Below are 20,551 nucleotides of genomic sequence, written 5' to 3'. Positions count from 1 at the left end.
GCAGTATTTGGTTTTCTGTTCCTGTGTTAGTTTGCTGAGAATGATAGTTTCCAGCTTCATCCATGTCCCTGAAAAGAACATGAACTCACCTTTTTTATGGCTGCATAGTATTCCACGTTGTTTATGTGCCACATTTTCTTTAACCAGTCTATCATTGATGGGCATTTGGGTTGGTTCCAAGTCTTTGCTATTGTAAATAATGCTGCAATAAACATACGTGTGCATGTGTCTTTATAGTAGAATGATATATAATCTTTGGGTATATACCCAGTAATGGGATTACTGGGTTAAATGGCATTTCTGGTTCCAGATCCTTGAGGAATTGCCACACTTTCACAATGGTTGAACTAATTTACACTCCCACCAAAAGTGTAAAAGCATTCTTATTTCTCCACATCGTCTCCAGCATCTGTTGTTTTCTGACTTTTTATTGATTGCCATTTTAACTGGCATGAGATGTTATCCCATCATGGTTTTGATTTGCATTTCTCTAACGACCAGTGATGATGAGCATTTTTTCTTATGTCTGTTGGCCACATAGATGTCGTCTTTTGAGAAGTGTCTGTTTATATCCTTTGCCCACTTTTTGATGGGTTTTTTTTGTTCTTGTAAATTTGTTTAAGTTCCTATAGATTCTGAATATTAGCCCTTAGTCAGATGGATAGATGACAAAAATTTTCTCCCATTCTGTAGGTTGCCTGTTCACTCTGATGATAGTTTCTTTTGCTGTACAGAAGCTCTTTAGTTTAATTAGATCCCATTTGTCAATTTTGGCTTTAGCTGCCATTGCTTTTTGTGTTTTAAACATGAAGTCTTTGCCCATGCCTATGTCCTGAATGGTATTGCCTAGGTTTTCTTCTAGGGTATTTGTGGCTTTAGGTCTTACATTTAAGTCTTTAACCCATCTTGAGTTAATTTTTGTGTAAGGTGTAAGGAGGTGGTCCAGCTTTAGTTTTCTGCATATGGCTAGTCAGTTTTCTCAACACAATTTATTAAATAGGGAATCCTTTCCCAATTGCCTGTTTGTGTCAGATTTGTCAAAGATCAGACGGTCATGTATGTGTGGTGTTATTTCTGAGGCCTCTGTTCTGTTTCGTTGGTCTATATAACTGTTTTGGTACCAGTACCATGCAATTTTGGTTAATGTGGACTTTTGTAGTATAGTTTAAAGTCGGGGAGCGTAATGCCTCAAGCTTTGTTTTTTTGCTTAGGATTGTCTTGACTATACAGGCTCTTTTTTGGTTCCATATACAATTTAAAGTAGTTTTTTCTAATTCTGTGAAGAAAGTCAATAGTAGCTTCAGGGAAATAGCATTGAATCTATGAATTACTTTGGACAGTATGGCCATTTTCAAGATATTGATTCTTCCTATCCATGAGCATGGAATGTTTTTCCATTTGTTTGTGTCCTCTCTTATTTCCTTGAGCAGTGGTTTGTAGTTCTCCTTGAAGAGGACCTTCACATTCCTTATAAGTTGTATTCCTAGGTATTTTATTCTCTTTGTAGCAATTGTGAATGGGAGTTCACTCACGACTTGGCTCTCTGTTTGTCTATTATTGGTGTATAGGAATGCTTGTGATTTTTGCCCATTGATTTTGTATCCTGAGACTTTGCTTAAGTTGCTTATCAGCTTAGGGAGTTTTCAGATGATGTGGTTTCCTAAATATACAATCATGTCATCTGCAAACAGAGACAATTTGACTTCCTCTTTTCCTATTTGAATATCCTTTATTTCTTTCTCTTGCCTGATTGCCCTGGCCAGAACTTCCAATATAGTGTTGAATAGGAGTAGTGAGAGAGGCCATCCTTGTCTTGTGCCGGTTTTCAAGGGAAATGCTTCTAGCTTTTGTGCATTCAGTATGATACTGGCTGTGCGTTTGTCGTAAATAGCTCTTATTATTTTGAGATATGTCCCTTCAATACCTAGTTTATTGAGTTTGTTTAGCATGAATGTGTGTTGAATTTTATTGAAGGCCTTTTCTGCATCTGTTGAGATAATCACGTTGTTTTTGTCATTGATTCTGTTTATGTGATGGATTATGTTTACTGATTTTCATATGTTGAACCATCCTTGCATCACAGGTATGAAGCCGACTTGATTGTGGTGGATACGCTTTTTGATGTGCTGCTGGATTCGTTTTGCCATTATTTTATTGCGGATTTTCACATCGATGTTCATCATGGACATTGGCCTGAAATTTTCTTTTTTGTGTGTGTCTCTGCCAGGTTTTGGTATCAGGATTGTGCTGGCCTCATAAAATGAGTTAGGGAGGAGTTCCTCTTTTTCTATTGTTTGGAAAATTTCAAAAGGAATAATACAGGCTCCTCTTTGTACCTCTGGGAGAATTCAGCTGTGAATCCGTCTAGTCCCGGTCTTTTTTTCATTGGTAGGCTATTAATTACTGCCTCAATTTCAGAACATGTTATTGGTCTACTCAGAGATTTGACTTCTTCCTGGTTTAGTCTTGGGAGTGTGTATGTGTCCAGGAATTTGTCCGTTTCTGCTAGGTTTTCTAGTTTATTTGCATAGAGGTGTTTATAGTATTCTCTGATGCTATTTTGTATTTCTGTGGGATTGGTGGTGATATCCCCTTTATCATTTTTTATTGTGTCTATTTGATTCTTCCCTCTTTTCTTCTTTATTATTCTGGCTAGTGGTCAATCTATTTTGTTAATCTTTTCAAAAAGTCAGCTCCTGGATTTACTGATTTTTTTAAAAGGGTTTTTCATGTCTCTATCTCCTTCAGTTCTGCTCTGATCTTAGTTATTTCTTGTCTTCTGCTAGTTTTTGAATTTGTTTGCTTTTGCTTCTGTAGTTCTTCTAATTTTGATGTTAGGGTGTCAATTTTAGATCTTTCCCACTTTCTCATGTGGACATTTAGTGCTATAAATTTCCCTCTAAACACTGTTTTAGCTGTGTCCCAGAGATTCTGGTACGTTGTGTCTTTGTTCCCATTGGTTTTAAAGTACTTATTTATTTCTGCCTTAATTTCATTATTTACCCAGTAGTTATTGAGGAGCTATTTGTTCAGTTTCCATGTAGTTGTGCTGTTTTTAGTGAGTTCCTTAATCCTGAGTTCTAATTTGATTGCACTGTGGTCTGAGAGACTGTCATGATTTCCATTCTTTTGCATTTGGTGAGGAGTGTTTTATTTCCAATTATGTGATCAATTTTAGATTTAGTGCAATGTGGTCCTGAAAAGCATGTACGTTCTGTTGATTTGGGGTGGAGAGTTTTGTAGATGGCTATTAGGTCCACTTGGTTCAGAGCTGATTACAAGTCCCAAATATCCTTGTTAACTTTTTCTCTTGTTGATCTGTCTAATATTGACAGTGGGGTATTAGAGTTTCCCACTATTACTGTGTGGCAGTCTCAGTCTCTTTGCGGTTTCTAAGAACTTGCTTTATGAATCTGGGTGCTCCTGTATTGGGTGCATAAATATTTTGGATAGTTAGCTCCTCTTGTTGCATTGATCCCTTTACTATTATGCAATGGCCTTCTATGTCTTTTTTGATCTTTGTGGTTTAAAGCCTGTTTTATCAGAGACTAGGATTGCAACCCCTGCTTTTTTGCTTTCTATTTGCTTCATAAATATTCCTCTATCCCTTTTTGAGCCTTTGTATGTCTTTGCACTTGAGATGGGTCTCCTGAATACAGCACACCATTGGGTCTTGATGTTTTATCCAATTTGCTAGTCTGTGTCCTTTAATTGGGGCATTTAGCCCATTTACATTTAAAGTTAATATTGTTATGTGTGAATTTGATCCTGTCATTATGATGCTAGCTGGTTTTTTTGTCCATTAGTTGATGCAGTTTCTTCATAGTGTCGACGTTCTTTACAATTTGGTATGTTTTTGCAGTGGCTGGTACCAGTTGTTCCTTTCCATGTTTAGTGCTTCCTTCAGGAGTTCTTGTAAGGCAGCCCTGGTGGTGGCAAAATTCCTCAGCATTTGCTTGTCTATACAGGATTTTATTTCTCCTTTGCTTATGAAGCTTAATTTGGCTGGATATGAAATTCTGGGTTGAAAATTCTTTTCTTTAAGAATGTTGAATATTGGCCCCCCACTCTCTTCTGGCTTGTAGAGTTTCTGCAGAGAGATCCACTATTAGTCTGATGAGCTTCCCTTTGTGGGAAACCTGACCTTTCTCTCTGGATTCCCTTAACATTTTTTCTTTGGTTCAATGTTGAGGAATCTGATGATTATGTGTCTTTGGGTTGCTCTTCTAGAGGAGTATCTTAGTGGTGTTCTCTATATTTTCTTAATTTGAATGTTGCCCTGTCTTGCTAGGTTGGGGAAGTTCTCCTGTATAACCTCCTGAAGTGTGTTTTCCAACTTCGTTCCATTCTCCCTGTCACTTTTAAGTACACCAGTCAATCGTAGTTTGGTCTTTTCACATGGTCCCATATTTCTTGGAGGATTTGTTCATTCCTTTTCATTCTTCTTTCTCTAATCTTGTCTTCATGCTTTATTTCATTAAGTTTATCTTCAATCTTTGATATCCTTTCTTCTGCTTGATCAATTTGGCTATTGACACTTGTGTATGCTTCACAAAGTCCCTGTGCTGTGTTTTTCAGCCCCATCAGGTCATTTATGTTCTTGTCTAAACTGGTTATTCTAATTAGCAGTTCCTGTAACCTTTTTTCAAGGTTCTTGGCTTCCTTGCATTGGGTTAGAACATGGTTCTTTAGCTCGAAGGAGTTTGTTATTACCCTCTTTCTGAAGCTAACTTCTGTTAATTCATCAAGCTCATTCTCCACCCAGGTTTGTTCCCTTGCTGGTGAGGAGTTGTGATCCTTTGGAGGAGAAGAGGCCTTTTTCAGCCTTTTTGTCCTGGTTTTTCTCCATTTTTGTGAATTTATCTACCTTTGATCTTTGATTCTGATGACCTCTGGATGGGGTTTTTGAGTTGGCATCCATTTTGTTGATGTTGATATTGTTTTGTGTTTGTTAGTTTTCCTTCTAATAGTCAGGCCTCTCTTCTGCAGGTCTGCTGGAGTTTGCTGGAGGTCCACTCCAGACCCTGTTTGCCTGGGTATCACTAGCAGAGGCTGCAGAACAGCAAAGATTGCTGCCTGTTCCTTCCTCTGGAAGCCTCACCCCAGAGGGGCACCTGCCAGATGCCAGCTGGAGCTCTCTTGTATGAGATGTCTGCTGACCCCTTCTAGGAGGTGTCTCCCAGTCAGGAGGCATGGGAGTCAGGGACCCCCTTGAGGAGGCAGTCTGTCCCTTAGCACAGCTAGAGCACTGTGCTGAGAGATCTGCTGCTCTCTTCAGAGCCAGCAGGCAGGAACATTTAAGTCTGCTGAAGCTGCACCCACAGCCACCCCTCCTTCCAGGTGCTCTGTCCCAGGGAGATGGGAGTTTCATCTATAAGCCCCTGACTGGGGCTGCTGTTTTTCTTTCAGAAATGTCCTTCCCGGAGAGGAGGAATCCAGAGAGGAAGTCTGGCTACAGCGGCTTTGCAGCACTGTGGTGAGTTCTGCCCAGTCCGAGCTTCCCAGTGGCTTCTACTACACTGTGAGGGGAAAACAGCCTACTCAAGCCTCAGTAATGGTGGACGCCCTTCCCTCCCTCAAGCCGGTGGATCTTAGCTTGTTGGACTCCTTGGAGGTGGGATCCACTGAGCAAGACCACTCGGCTCCCTGGCTTCAACCCACTTTCCAGGGGGTGAACGGTTCTGTCTCATTGGCGTTCCAGGTGCCACTGAGATACGAAAAAAAATTCCTGCAGCTAGCACAGTGTCTGTCCAAATGGCCACCCAGTTTTGTGCTTGAAACCTAGGGCCCTGGTGGTGTAGGCACCCGATGGAATCTCCTGGTCTGTGGGTTGCAGAAACCATGGGAAAAGTGTAGTATCTGGGCCGGATAGCACTGTCTCTCAAGGCACATTCCCTCATGGCTTCCCTTGGCTTGGGGAGGGAGTTTCCCAATCCCTTGCACATCCCGGGTGAGGTGACGCCCCACCCTGCTTATGCTTGCCTTCCATGGGCTGCATCCACTCTCTAACCAGTCCCAGTGAGATGAACTGGGTACCTCAGTTGGAAATGCAGAGATCACCGGCCTTCTGCATTGGCCTGGCTGGGAGCTGTGGACGGGAGCAGTTCCTATTCAGCCATCTTGCCAGATCTCTCAGCACATATTAATAGAGACCAATACAATGACACTATACAAATGCCATGTTGGCTAAAATGCCAAGCAAATGGTTGCAAACATGCTTAGTGTAAATTGTCATCATGGCATTATTATCACTTTGGGGAAAAATGACCCTGTGATACTTTGCATCAAGGTAATTAAATGAGAAATTGCATGTTCAGATAGTTAGCACAGGACCTAGCTCACAGCAAAAGCTCAGTAAAAAAGTGAATTATTCCTATTACTAAATTTGTGGTTAGTCTTGTGCTTACCCTAAGTTGCTCCTGATTTATATTAATGGAAAGAAATGTGAATTTATTAGATATTTTTAGTTATTCCAGTTAAATATACAAATTTTCTATTACTCATCTTCAAACATCTGAAACAGTTTAATTAAACATTATTCTCAGACTAGACACACAATAAAAGATAATGTCCTCATTTAGTAGTGTGTCATGTGTGCTCTTTAAGGCTATAAAAGTTGATATTCATGGAAAAAAAGAAACTGATATGTCGTCAACCATAAGCCTTTATTCAGAATATAGCAGCTTGCAAAATACCTCAAAGGTGTGTACTAACTTGGGAGAGGGTGGTTAAAATGTTCTTGGGGCTTTGCCAAAGGTTTTAGCAGATGTTAAGCTACTTTGGGGGAATGTTTGGTCAAATATGGGTCTCAGAAGAAATAATTATTTTGGGCTTTAACTGCTGTTTGTTTGGGTAATATAGTTTTAGCAAGAAGGTTGGGTTAGAGGTTAAGATTATGCAAATATCAGAGTGGGAGGACAAGCCATATGGACCAAAGTCAAGAGGAAGCAGGTAGGTGGCCAAGCGGTAATTTTTCAGTCTTCCAGAGTCTCCTACAATAACTCCTTTTTGTCAGAGAAGGGATTGAGTCTTATTATTTAACAAATATTGTTAATTCCTTCAAATCTGTGCCACTAGGGTCAATTGAACTTTCAGATTTATTGGTGACAGCTGCCATCAAACTTCTCATGACTTGTACTCATTGTGGTTGAATTTCCATAAGTTATCAAATGAGTTGTTATATGGAATACTTTAAGACACTGGAAAAAGTGAATTTTAAAAAGCCCTATGAATACAAGAAGAATGAAAATTAGAATTATTAGAAAGTCTTGAATAATCTCTTTAAACCAAGATTCTTTCCAACCTGAAATCATCAAAGAGAACATATTCGATCCCAATAAAAAGTCTGTCAGAAAAAGAGCTTTGATATTAGTAGGTCTATTTAATACAGCATATCCCCCTGATATACAAAGTAACAAGTTTAAGGGTAAAGCTCTTAAGAATATCATGTAACCCTCAAAAACATTAAATGAATAGAAAGAAGGAAAAATAAACATAGAAAAGAAGATAAAGAAACAAAGGAGAATCTAATTATCAGTGAATACTGGCGTTTGTGTGTCTCTATCTGAAGCTCTTGGGCAGAAAAATTTCATTTCTAATAATCTCCTACTATCTAAGTTACTTGGAAGAGGTTTTTCCCTAGTTATGACTTGTAATTCTGGGAATACCTGAAGAAATCTGCATTTTAGATCTACCATCAGCAGGGAAATCTTGGAGGTAAATAGGTGAAGTTTTAATTGGGAAACATAAATTTAGTGGAGTTTTCTGAGTGTTTGCGGTTAACAGTAAGATCCCTCCATTGAGCCTAAAGACCATCCTTACATGGCTGTTTTTTCTAGTAAACTGGATCTCTGGGCTGAAGGTCATGCAGAATGTTTTTAGGTTTTATATTTGAAAAAGGCCACAGAACCTATTGTTGATAAGCGTAGGCATAGAGCAACACGCTTGTATATTATTTGGCTTTATCAGACTATTTAAAGAGCAGAATCAAGGTTAAGGAGTGAGAAGTCCAGATGCAGAGTATATTTAGTAATGCGATCCCATGGGAATGTATGTTTCTGTTGGAGTGGACATAATGGCCATGAGAACTCAAAGCAAAGCCTTTGACCTTGGACAACCAGTGTTTCTCAAATAGGTTTGCAAGTATCATTTCAAATGTGCTATCCATCCCTTGATATTTCCTGAGTACTGAGTATAGCCAGTACAGTGAGACTTCTTGGTGATAGGCAGAATTATAAAGAATATATTTTTTTTGATGGAGTGTTGCTCTGTCGTCCAGGCTGGAGTTCAGTGGAGTGATCTTTGCTCACTGCAACATTCCCCTTCCAGGTTCAAGCAATTCTCTCGCCTCAGCCTCCCAAGTAGCTAGCACTGCAGGTACCTGCCACCATGCCCAACTAATTTTTTTAAATTTTTATTAAGAGAGAGGTTCCACCATGTTGATCAGGCTGGTCTCAAACTCCTGACCAGAGGTAATCCGCCCACCTCGGCCTCCCAAGGTGTGGGATTACAGGCGTGAGCCACCGCATCCAGCTAGAATTTTAAAGAATTTCTTAATTACGGTTCCAATGAAATACAGACCCTATTGTGGTAAGCTGAATAATTCCTTCCTCTCCAAAACATATCCACGTCCTAATCATGTTCAGATAAAAGTACACATTTTAATATTTAAAAAGTTATATGATGGATAAGTATATGTTGCTATGAAATAAGTATATTACAATTGGGCATCATGGCTCACACCTGTAATCCCAGCATGGGAGGTTGAGGTGGGACAATTGCTTGAGCCCCAAGATTGGAGACCAGCCTGGAAAACAAAGTGAGACCCTGTCTCTACATTAAAGAAAAAAAAAATGCAGGTATTGTGGCTCAGGCTTGTAGTCCTCGCTCTCTGGAAGCTGAGGAAGAATTGCTGAAGCCCAGGTGATCAAGGCTGCAGTGAGCCAAGATCACGCCATTGCACTCCAGCCTGGGTGACAGAGCAAGACCCTGTCTCAAAAAAAAAAAAAAAAAAGAAAAGTATATTTGAGATTTTTTGTTTGTTTGTTTGTTTTTAACTATTGTTTAAACAATTTCCTAAAGCAAATACTCCAATGCTTAAAATAATAATCGTTTCTTGTGCCTGTAATTCTCAGATTGGGTAATGCTTGTTAGAAATAAGCTTATTGCTTCTCAATATAATGTCAGCAGGAAGATCCCAGCTGGAACTGGAGTGTTTTCCAATATTGCCCCCTCACATCCCTAATGGGTAAGGCTGTTTTTTAATTGTGAGCTCAACTAGACTTTTGATCAGAATATTTTTTTCCTCTTCATGGGAGCTTCTTCCTGAGGTTTCATATGCTCTTTTATATTATAGTAACTGGATCCATAGAGCACATTAGAAGACCAGGGAGGAATCTGTAAGACTTCTTCTTATCTCACCTCAAGGGCCATGCAGTGTCACTTCTATTATATTCAGTTAGCAAAATCAACTATCAAACCACAGCTCTAAGGCAGTGGACAATATAGGTGAACTGTTGCTGAGAAGAGTATTTCACTGGGGCCACTTCAGTTTCTGCTAAGGAATAATTGATTAAGTTGATGCTTTAAAAATGAGCATAAGTTAGATTGGCAAAATATGCCAAGGACAGTTTTCTGATTGAATAAATAATGTGTAAATGTCTTGAAAGAGGAATTGTTATTTCATTAAAGGAACTTGAAGTCTAGTGTGATTAAAGTCTAGTGTGACTAAGAAACCTTCATCCAAAGAATATTTCAACATGGTTTTCAAGAAATGTTTTATTCTCAAATATTAACTTACAGACTTTTAACTGGGCTCAACAATTCTATCTTTTTCACTAACTCTTATATGAGCTATGTCCTTTTTGTTTTGATAGGCAGTTTCATGAAAATGTTGATAGATAGATACCATACATGTATAGATGAACATTGAATTTCAAATCAAAAATATATTTTTTACTATTTATTTATTCTATAATTGCTTCCTTAAAATATTTTTCAAATGTTTAAATTCACTCTACCACTATTTTCAGGGTCATTATTAAAGTTTAACTTTGTTGTAATGCATAAAATATATTTTTCAGTAGCTTTGGATATAATTGGAAAAAATAAAAATGTTCAGGAAAAGTCACTAAGAAATTAGACAACCACCTCTAAACCAGGATTGTATGAAAACTACTACACATGATTGGAATGACGTTAGAAAGGACACAGGTTTGGAAATGTCCAGAGGTTATTCCTTAAATGAATAAAAACCATAATTTATTCAACTTGAAAGTATACCCAAGGTGTTCCAAAGTATGACATTAATGTGAATTCAACTTTTTGCAGTCATTAAAAAGTCCGTGGGTTCTTTTTATCTTTAACTAAAAGCAAAATATAACTCACTAAGGACCTACATGTTTTCTTTTTGAAATTTTGGCTTGCAGTGAATTTCTGCATCATTTCAGTTTGAAATTCTGCTGTTGATGTCGATACAGCCTTTCCCCATGGAAATTAAATCTACATCTTAAAGAACTTCAATGTGAAGCATTTGTTTTGTCAAGAAGGTTCCTCTTGTGGTTGTATTCCCCTCTTTGCTGGGAAGTGGCGTGTAGTTCAGCATCCACATTGAGGTTTCTTGCTGCCATTATAAATGTGTGTGATGCCAACTCCCACGAGGAAGAATGGCTCTAGGACTGACATATTACAAGTAATATAAGAAGCTAGTGTTCAAGGAATTGCCACAACAATGAAATATTTCTTTCTCAGTCACCACTTCTCCAAATAAGAAAAAAAAAAAAGAAACAGGAACAGAATGCAATGTAGCTTAGCAGGGATCCATTCAACTTTAAAATGTACAGTTTTGTAAGTAGTATGTTTAGCTGTATCTGCATGCCCTACAGAAAATTTAATGCAAATTTTTTATCATAAAATATACTTGACAAGAACTTTAACAAAAGCTACATAAATATATCTATTCATTCCAGAGCAGAGTCTGGAATAAAAGGGGGCATCAAGATTGGGGTAGGGACAGGATAAAAAACAATGGAGCTTCTGGAGCATTAGAATACAGATTATACTAGATATGTCTAAGTTTATGTTGGCACTTGTTTACCATCTCACAGATCTTGCCACAGTTGCTTTCTTATTTCCTGCTCAGAATAAGAAAAGAGATAGACCAGCCACAGTGGTTTAAGCTTATAGTCCCAGCACTTTGGGAGGATGAAGCCAGCAGATGGCTTGAGCCCAGGAGTCAAAGACCAGCCTGGGCAACATGGCAAAACTCCATCTCTACAAAGAAAGGACAAAAATTAGCCAGGCATGGGGGCACATGTCTGTAGTTCCGGGTACTCGGGAGGCTGGGGCAGGAGAATCGCTTGAGCCTGGGACGTCGAGGCTGAAGTGAGCCATAATCACACCACTGCACTCCAGCCTCGGTGACAAAGTAAGAGTCTGTCTCAAAAACAGAAAGAAAGAAATGAAAAGAAATATTATTTAAAAAAATACATTGAAAGCTGTGAGCTGTGTGTGCTAGTTTACAGAATGCTCTTTACATCTTGACCAATGCCATCATTAAATCAATAATGATCTAACAAAATATAATATTTCAGATGCTATTCTTTGGAATAATGTAGTTGTGCACGGAGGCAGGGATTTGAAGTTCAGAATTTAGAAAACTAAAATTCTTTTTTATGTTTTTTTTCCCCAGAAATATGCCATGAGACAGAGTGCTTATTCTTCATAATTACCTGAAAGAGAATGTTGACCCATGTTTTAACTTTATATATATAGTTTGTGTGACAATTTAGCTGGTCATTTTAATTAATTTATCTATTTATTTGGCTATTGTTTCAAACAAAAAGTATTAAGTAAGCATATGACCAAACACAGCATAAACCAACTCTTACCTTTCCTTTCTCTAAAAAATAGGCCCAAGATGCACACACACACACAGACAAACACAGACACACACACACACACACCAGTAGGCTTAAAATGTCTATAACTGAATACTATTAATTTTGTTTTACTAAAATTACACTAGGTTATTGGGAAAAGAAGAATGAGAGCTGTATATATTGAAATATTTGACAGATCTAGTACTCTCCTTAGAGTCTCCAGATGTCTTCTGGTCTTAGCCTTGGAAAGGTAAACATTAAGTGAAGGAAAAACTAGGTACTAATAATGTATAATTGAAGAAAAGCCTTTAATTATTGTTTTCCATTTTATGCCCACATTATTTCATTAAAGTGCCATTTTAACCAAGTTCAAAAAAGTCAAAGAACAATTGCTTGACAAACATGAACGAGCTTGCTTTGGTCAGAGAGGTTAAATAAATGAAAGAATGCTATACAATTTGCAGTTAATGTTTCATTTTCATATTTTGAATATTTAATTTTGTAAATTCTATATTTACATGTATGACAATTACTTTGCTTATTACTCTGGTAAATGATTGAATAAATTTTAATAAAAACATTTTATAACCTTTAGTAGGGTTAACAATAATTTTGAAGATGGTATTTATAACAACCTAGTTAATTTTATCTAAACATGCTTCTTTCTTGTAATGCATAGAACTTTGCACATTTATTTCCAGGTATTTTCAGCTAATATTTTCAGGATGTGGCATCAATTCCTGAGATTAGTATATTATATTTTATTTATACATTGTTTATAAGATTATCTTGACAAACAAAGTTAGAAAAAATGTTATGTATAAATTTATGTAATGAGTTTAACTAGATTTTTAAACATTTTGCCTGGATCCAAGAAAATACAAATTGTGAGACATAACAAATGTAAATGGAATCCTTTATTAGTTTTTACCTTTTATCCAAGCTGAAGAGCTTATTGACAATAAAGATGCCTTTGAAACTTTCTGTCTAAAAACATTAAAATTCAAGACTTTCCTAGAACTCAATGGATAACAAAATTTGATCACTATAAACTGGAGAAACATCGTCACCTGTAGCAATAAAAAAATACATACTGTGTTTTATGTTTAAGCAAATATATTATTTTTAACCAAAATCTTAAATTTATAAAAAAGTGTCTAATTATAATTCTGCAACTAAAAATAAGAATTAACACGTATCACATACCCAAGTCTACCCATTCCAGTAATATCACACTTGTCAGAACAGCTTTGTATGTCTACCATTTGGGTATGTGTCCTAGAGTTCACTGCAATCTGCCATCATGTATTTGATTTTTGTGTGGCCACACAAGTGACTGAAATGAGAATACAGTAGAAACTGCCTCTGCAACTTTTTAGGTTTTTAAAAATGGCACTGATCTCTTCTATTGTATCTGGAAGGCAATATTGCTTTATGAAGTCTCTTGGCTGTGGTATAAAGACATTTTTCAGTCTTTTCCTTGACCTTTCCTATGACAATTATTATTCATTCACATTTCAAGGAACTAGAGTGAGTGTTCTGCCAGTTACTATGTATGTATATCTAAATTATGAATTCAGGAAATAAAGTTTTATTGTGCATATATGGACTCATTGGACCCATTGTGAAATGAATTCGTGGTTAAACTAAATTTATTACCTGATTTTCATATGTACCCACTCTTGAAGGGAGGCTATGGTAAAAGTTGACTTTCCTTCAATTCACACACTATATCAAAAAATGTGGGTGCTCCCTTTTCCATATGTACCTGCGGCTACAGACACTTTGAGTAGAGGAAGAGAATTATCTTTACAGTATATATTTGCTCTGCCATCAGGTCATTTCTCAGAAAAACAGAGCTTCTGCTTTAATTATTGGACTCTCAGTCTGAAAGTTGGCTCAAGCTTGGAAAGTAGATGAGTGATTGAAATTTCCACTGGAGTGGCTGACATCGACCTTCTGCTTCTCCACATTAGCTGCTTTCTGAATATATATGTACATGTACAAAAATCCTTATTGGAAGCCTTTCTATAGTTCCCCTAAAAACTGTGATGATAGCTCATCCATGATCTTAGATTCCTACATAATAGAGTTCCTCAGCTGTTGAGTTGCTGATAACTGGCATGGAAATTATGTTGGTCCTTATCTCTCTGTACTGATTACATGCTACCACCTTTCCTTTGCTCTTCTAGAATTGTATATCATCTTCAACATTTGTTTCATAAGAGCATTACTTGCTAATCCTTCTTGGCCTATAGACAACAGCCACTGTTAAGCCTGTAAAAATTTCAATCTTTATAAACTTAGTGAAACTAATGTTTTTGTTAATCCTGAAGTACACAGTCACTCTAGCTTGTCCAGTGACTCAGTCTTTATATTGGTTCCACAACACTGTATCAGGGCAGGTCTAGAAACTTCACACTATGTACTGTGGTCTGTCATATTTCCAAGAGCCATGCCTAAAGCACAGTAGGGCTGATGTCAGATGCTCTTGCAATCCACTGAGTTCGGTGTTCCCTTTAAACCCTAGTACTTCATATCATCAAAGTCTCTCTCATCCAGCTTTATATTCTGGTCTAGTACTTGCAAGATGTAGCCACCAGAACTGCTTTTTCTGTTTCCTTTTGGTACATATTAACCAGGTCCAGTGACTCCAACCATGAATGATGTCTTTTCTCATGTATAAGGTCCAGAGGTTCTAAAGGCCGTGGAAATGAACTTAACCTTATCTTCTGGTTAAGTTGCCAAGAGGGAATGTGGGAAAAGATCTCATGGCGGGAAGTTTTCTTTTGCAAAATATCTGCCTCAGGGGAGTCCAGTGGGAAGTCTCCAGGGGTCTGTTACAGTCTAAAAAAGAAAAGTGAACCACTTCTTTAGGTTTAGAGAGCTCGAGGAGATCTGGTTCTTTAATGTTCCTGAATCACTTCTCTCTGGGTCCTGTCCCTTCACTTTATGACCCTGATTTTGACTTGCTGAGAAAACAGTTCAATTTGAAATTCTACTCCTCTTATAATCAGATCTTGGGCCAGATCATCAGCATCAATTACATTCCACTTCCAAGAAATTATGGTCTCTTTAAATAATCCCATGGATACATTGTAACTTTCCTACCATGCATTCAATTACCAATTGGCTGATTTGAGTCTGTCATTTTCTCTGTTAAAGGCATTAGTGCTTATAGCAACAAACAATAAATTCCATTGTCCTTGTATTAGGTTGGTGCAGAAGCAGTCGCGGTTTTTGCCATTAAAAGTAATTCACTTTTTTTTTTTTGCCAATACTTGTAATAGCAAAAAATAGACTATACAGAGGCCTGAAATGTCCAGTATAATTTGACCCTGCATTATTTTTCTTACTTATATCCTACTATTCTCTCTCTGGCTCCTCCTTGGATGCCTTTGTATAATGGAAAGATATGACCCCAGCCCAGAAACTTTGCACTTTCTTTTTTATATACTTTCAACATTCTTGCCCTAGAACACAACATTGCTACCTTTTTTCTTTGTTCTTTGATTAAATATTATCTTTTTAGTAGATATTCTCTTATAACGCTACTTAATATTGGAATAAACTCTCCAACTTCTGGAAACCTTTTCTCCTTCCCCTGCCTTAGTTCTGAAGTATTTGTAAACTTTTAAGTAGTTAAAATATTTACTTTGTTTAATATTTGCCCATTGTCACTAAAAATAAAAGTTCTAAGAACAATCGCATATTTGCCTCACTGCCAGAATCAGAGTCCAGAGCAATGCTGACACATAGGAAGCACCAAGTCACTATTTGTTGAACAAATGAAAGAATGAGTGAAAGGAATAAAAGATTTTTAAAAACTTTGTATTTTAGCACAAATTATGATCCAATAATTATCCAATTACTAGTGTATTCACTGATAAATATCTGAGTAATTTCAATAGCATAAATCTCTAATGAAATCACTGGTATTTATCAGTGAATCCGTTAAGTGAAACTATTTGTTTCTGAATAATGCCACACCATCGTCAACAACAAGGAGTGCAATGTATACATGAAAATCAACAAACACAGAGCAATTAAACTTTGGACTTTATGTTTTAGATATGTTTTATCATAGATTATCTTGTTATTTACTTTGAGTCTCTACACAATCAAAATTTTGAAAAATAGTTATGCTAGGAAAAACCTGCTTATTATAACACTAGCAATGTAAGATCACTTTGGAATGATTTAATTTAATTGGTTTATGGGTTAAAAGTTATCAGTTTAGGTTAAATGTGTATAGAAAGTATATTTATGCATGCTTAAATACATAATCAGTTGTTGTGATAAGTTGCCAAAGAATGAGGTTTCCCACATATCGCTCTTATTTGAATACTTTTTAAGGTGGCATCTTTTTTTAGAAGCTTAAGAAGGAACTATTTTTTTTCCAGCTGACAAACACTCTATTTGATGTGATTAAGTAAGGTTTTTACATAAAATTGTAGGCGTTGCAAGCCAGTTATCTTTCAAATTTATTTCTTTCGAAAAAACAATGTGTCAGTAGAAATCTGTGATTTTGCTCCATCATTTAAATATAATGGGAGCTCTGGAATGTGTTAAATGCATAGAGTTGAAGCACGATCTATAGCTTTATAGGAAAATCTGCAGATAATGCCATTTCAATACAATGCTACCTCATCCTTGTCTTCATTTTGAAACATATTTCATATTTTAAAGAAAAGCAGCATATTCTGACTTACTATGCAATGACAATTTTATGTTTTGTATAAAATATTGTTCCAATCAATACCACCTGCAAAAATTTACTTATTAATGATCTTCTCTTCCAGAGTATTCTTCCTGCAGAAAGTAGTGCATACGCTTCTAACTGATATAAGAGGAAAAAATAATATCAAAACTTAATTCCATAAAATGTCCTTTTTCATCCATAACAAACAAAGACAAACTCATAATGATTTGAAAAGATTAGCAAATATATTCTTAAGAAGAATTCTGGGATATTTATTTCAACTATTTTGTTTTCTGTATGGTCTCTGGTCCAACAGGAACACAGTATCTCCTTTATTATCCCACTCCTATCTACCTTACTTTTTCCCAGACTTTCTGCTAATGCAACAGAAGCATCTCAGACAATATAAAGTAAGTTGCCTCAAAAATTGTTATTCCATAATCTAATTTTAAATGAAGGGAAATTCAGTCAGATGCTAAATTTATTTTCAGTTGTTACAACTGGGACCTAGTCCACTGGTAAGAATCAATGATTTTGAGGCATGTTGTCAGGCTGCACCACGTAGTGGGATGAAGGAATTTAACCTGAATGAAAGATAGGATGATATTCAAATGTGAGAGAAAACCTAGGGTTTATACCAAACAGACTTTTCTCTAATGCTCTCAATTTCACATTAAAATTCTGACATTTTAAGCCTGTTTTTGAAGTGACTTTATATATCTGTTTGCATATGTAGTGGAACAACCTGTGTTCATGCATGTCTTAAGAAAGACATCATAGAGAAAAATATGATAAATTCTGATATTCTAGTATCCACAAAATGAAAAACACAGCCCTTATGCTACTTTTACTTGCTTTATTTTTGAAATATTTTCACATTAGACTTCAATAATGTGCACCTGCACACACACACACACACACACATATCCCAAACTTTTATAAATTTAGAGTAAAATTATAACAAACCAAAAATTTTATAATACTGGTTTTTATGTTTGCTGATATAGTTACCTTTACTGGAGATTCTTATTTCTTCATATGACTTCAAGTTACTGTCAAGGGTTCTTTCATCTTAACTTGGAGGACTCCCTTTAACATTTCTTGTAGTGCAGATCTAGTAGTTATAAACCTTTTCGTCTTTATTTATCTGGTAAAGGTCTTTCTCATTTACTTAATTTTTTTCTTTAAATACTTTAAATATGCCATACTACTTCTTCTGCTCCCATTGTTTCTGAAGAGAAACTGTTAGTTTTATTGAGATTCCCTTGTAAAAGGTGAGTCACTTCTTTATTGCTCTTTCCAAGATGTTCCTTTCATCTTTGTCATCCAACAGAGTGATTATGTGTCTCAGTATGTGTCTATCTGAGTTTTTCCCTACTTGGAGTTTATTGAATTTCTTAGATTTGTAAGTTTATGTCTTTCAACAAATTTTGGAGGTTTTTGTCATTGTTTCTTTAAACATTCTTTCTTTCTTTTTCTCTCTTGGTTTACTTTCTGGAACTCTGATGATGTGTATTTCGTTCTACTAGATGGTGTTTCACAGTTCCTTGGGTTCTGTTCAATTTTATTCATTTTTTTCTGCTCTCAAAACTCAAATGTTTTTATATTCATCCAACCAAAGATTAATTTGAAGATTTGTGTTTGTTCTAATCTGCTTTTGTACCATTCTAATAAAACTTGATTTAAGTAATTATATTTTATCACCAGAATTTTTGTTTTGTTCCTTTTTGTAATTTCTCTGTCTTTATTGACATAATCATTGTGTTTATACCACACTTTCCTTATTTCTTTTAGTCCTTTGACCGTGCTTTATATAACTCTTTGAACACATTTTAAAGTTATTGTAATATATTTCCTATAGTTAAAATGCTATTTTCACCTCCAAAATTTATGTTGAAACAACATCCAAGGCGACATTATTGGGAGACGTGACCATTTAAAGGTGATTGAGTCTAGAGCTTCTGCCCTTATAAAAGGGAGTAGGGGCCTTTATTACAAGTATGAAGGGAGTTGCTGGGGAGGAGTTTATTATTCTTTTGCCCTTCCACCTTCTGCCATGTGAAGACACAGTGCTCTTCCCATCCATGGATGCAGCATTCAAGGTGCAATCTTGGAAGCTGAGACTGAACGCTCACCAAACAAGAAACCTGCCGGGGCCTTCATATTGGACATCCCAGCTGCCAGCTTGTGCTAAATAAATTTCTGTTTTTCATAAATTATCCAGTGTCAGGTATTCTGATATAGCAGTATAACACTGACTAAGAAGAAACTGATACCAGAGAAGTGAGGTGCTGCTATAACAAATACCTAAAAATGTTAAAGCAGCTTTTGAACTGGGTAATAAGTAGAGCTTAGAAAAGTTTTGAAGTGAATTCTTGAGAAGCTTGTTTTGCCATAACTTGAAACTGAAGGGTGATTCTGATGAGGGCACAGAAAAGAGAAAACTTCAAATAAAGATTGAATCATTCTAAGATATTTTTTAAGTAGTTGTAAATAGAATCTTGGGGGAAATATGGACAGTAAAGGACATTCTGATGTGGTCTTATATGGAAATGAAGAATATATCATTAGAAACTGGGTCTTTCATCTTGTTACAAAATGGCAAAGTACTTTGCTGAATTATATCCATATCCTAGGACTCTGTGGAAAGCAGAACTTAAGGACAGTGAACTAGGATACTGACCACAAGAAATCCCTAAGAAGCAAAGTATTTAGAATGCTGTGTGGCTTCTCTTAGCTGCTTATAGTAAAAGTTGAGAAGAGAGAAATGATTTAGAGACAAGCTTTGTAATGAAAAGGATTGATACATACAGATTTGGAAAATTCTCAGCCAGGCTATGTAAATAATGAAAAAGCATGTTTTGGAGGGAAAAGCAAGGCGGTGGCCAAGTGCCTGTTTGGTAAGGAGATTAATGTGGATAGAAGGAAGCTACTTGCTACTTACCAAGACATTAGGAGAATGACCTCGAACACATCTTGAAGATCTTTGAGGATACTCTTCCTAACACATCCATGGCCATCTCATGTCTCTGCTCCCCACATTCCTACACAGTGCTCCTTAATTATCCTAGCTATGTCTCCAGTAGGCCCATGTGAGTCAAGAGCTATACCTCTAGAAGGTACAGGCATTAACATTGGCAGAGTCCATATAGTGCTAATTTTGCAGGAATGCAGACTACAGGAGCTGTGGAGGCAGGCTGCCTCAACCTACATTTAGAAGTACGCCTCAGAGAGCCTTGAGGTTCAGGAATAGACCTGCCACAGGGGCAGAGCCACTGCAGCAAGTGCCCACTAAAACTATATCTAGTAGAGTCTTGGTGGCTGTGATGTCCCCAGTACCCAGTGACTATGGAGCCACCAGTATGCAATGCCACTCATAAAGAGCCACAGGCACCCAACTCCAGCACACAGGAGCTGTGCTGTGGGCTATGCCTAACAAAGTCATGAAGGTTGTATGCTTTTGGACCTTGGAGACTCAATTCATAGCCCATTGTGTTGAGGAGGTAAGCCAGGGAGTCAAACATTATTCACTAACCTAAAGATTTAATTTTGTTTGCACTATTGGGTTTTTGCTTACTTGAGATCTATTGTCCCTTTCTTCTTTTCTAGTTTTCCATTTTGTAATGGGAAAATCTATCCTATGCCTGTTCCACCATTGAATTTTAGAGGCACATAATTTATTTTCGCAGGCTTCTCAGTTCTAGAGGAAATTTGCCTCAAGATAAATCTTATAAAATAAGATTCTAATCTTACAAAATACTATAAAATAAGTCTTATAAATATCAGATTTACATGAGACTCTACATTTTAGACTTTTATGTTGGTAAAAAAATGAGTTAACATTTGGGATGAAAAGAATGTATTTTTTATTTGAAAAGGACCTGAATTTTGGGGGACTAGGGACACAGTGGTATGGTTTGAATGTTTTTGTCACCACCAAAATTCATGTTGAAAGGTAATCCTCCACCCA

At 36.7% G+C, this 20,551-nt stretch overlaps 1 long non-coding RNA gene across 1 annotated transcript in view; it reads right to left on the bottom strand.

Moving 5' to 3' along the window:
• Positions 1-12,778: 12,778 nt before the first annotated feature.
• The window catches only part of LINC01684 (long intergenic non-protein coding RNA 1684), a 119,203-nt gene continuing 111,430 nt past the window's right edge, over positions 12,779-20,551 (bottom strand). The window contains exon 3 of the long non-coding RNA NR_135519.1: positions 12,779-14,726. This is a non-coding gene — a long non-coding RNA (long intergenic non-protein coding RNA 1684). The remainder of the gene's footprint in view (positions 14,727-20,551) is intronic.

This window comes from Homo sapiens, chromosome 21 (assembly GCF_000001405.40).
Source record: "Homo sapiens chromosome 21, GRCh38.p14 Primary Assembly".
NCBI classification, from domain to species: Eukaryota; Metazoa; Chordata; class Mammalia; order Primates; family Hominidae; genus Homo; species Homo sapiens.
This window is presented reverse-complemented; position numbering and strand designations above follow the sequence as displayed.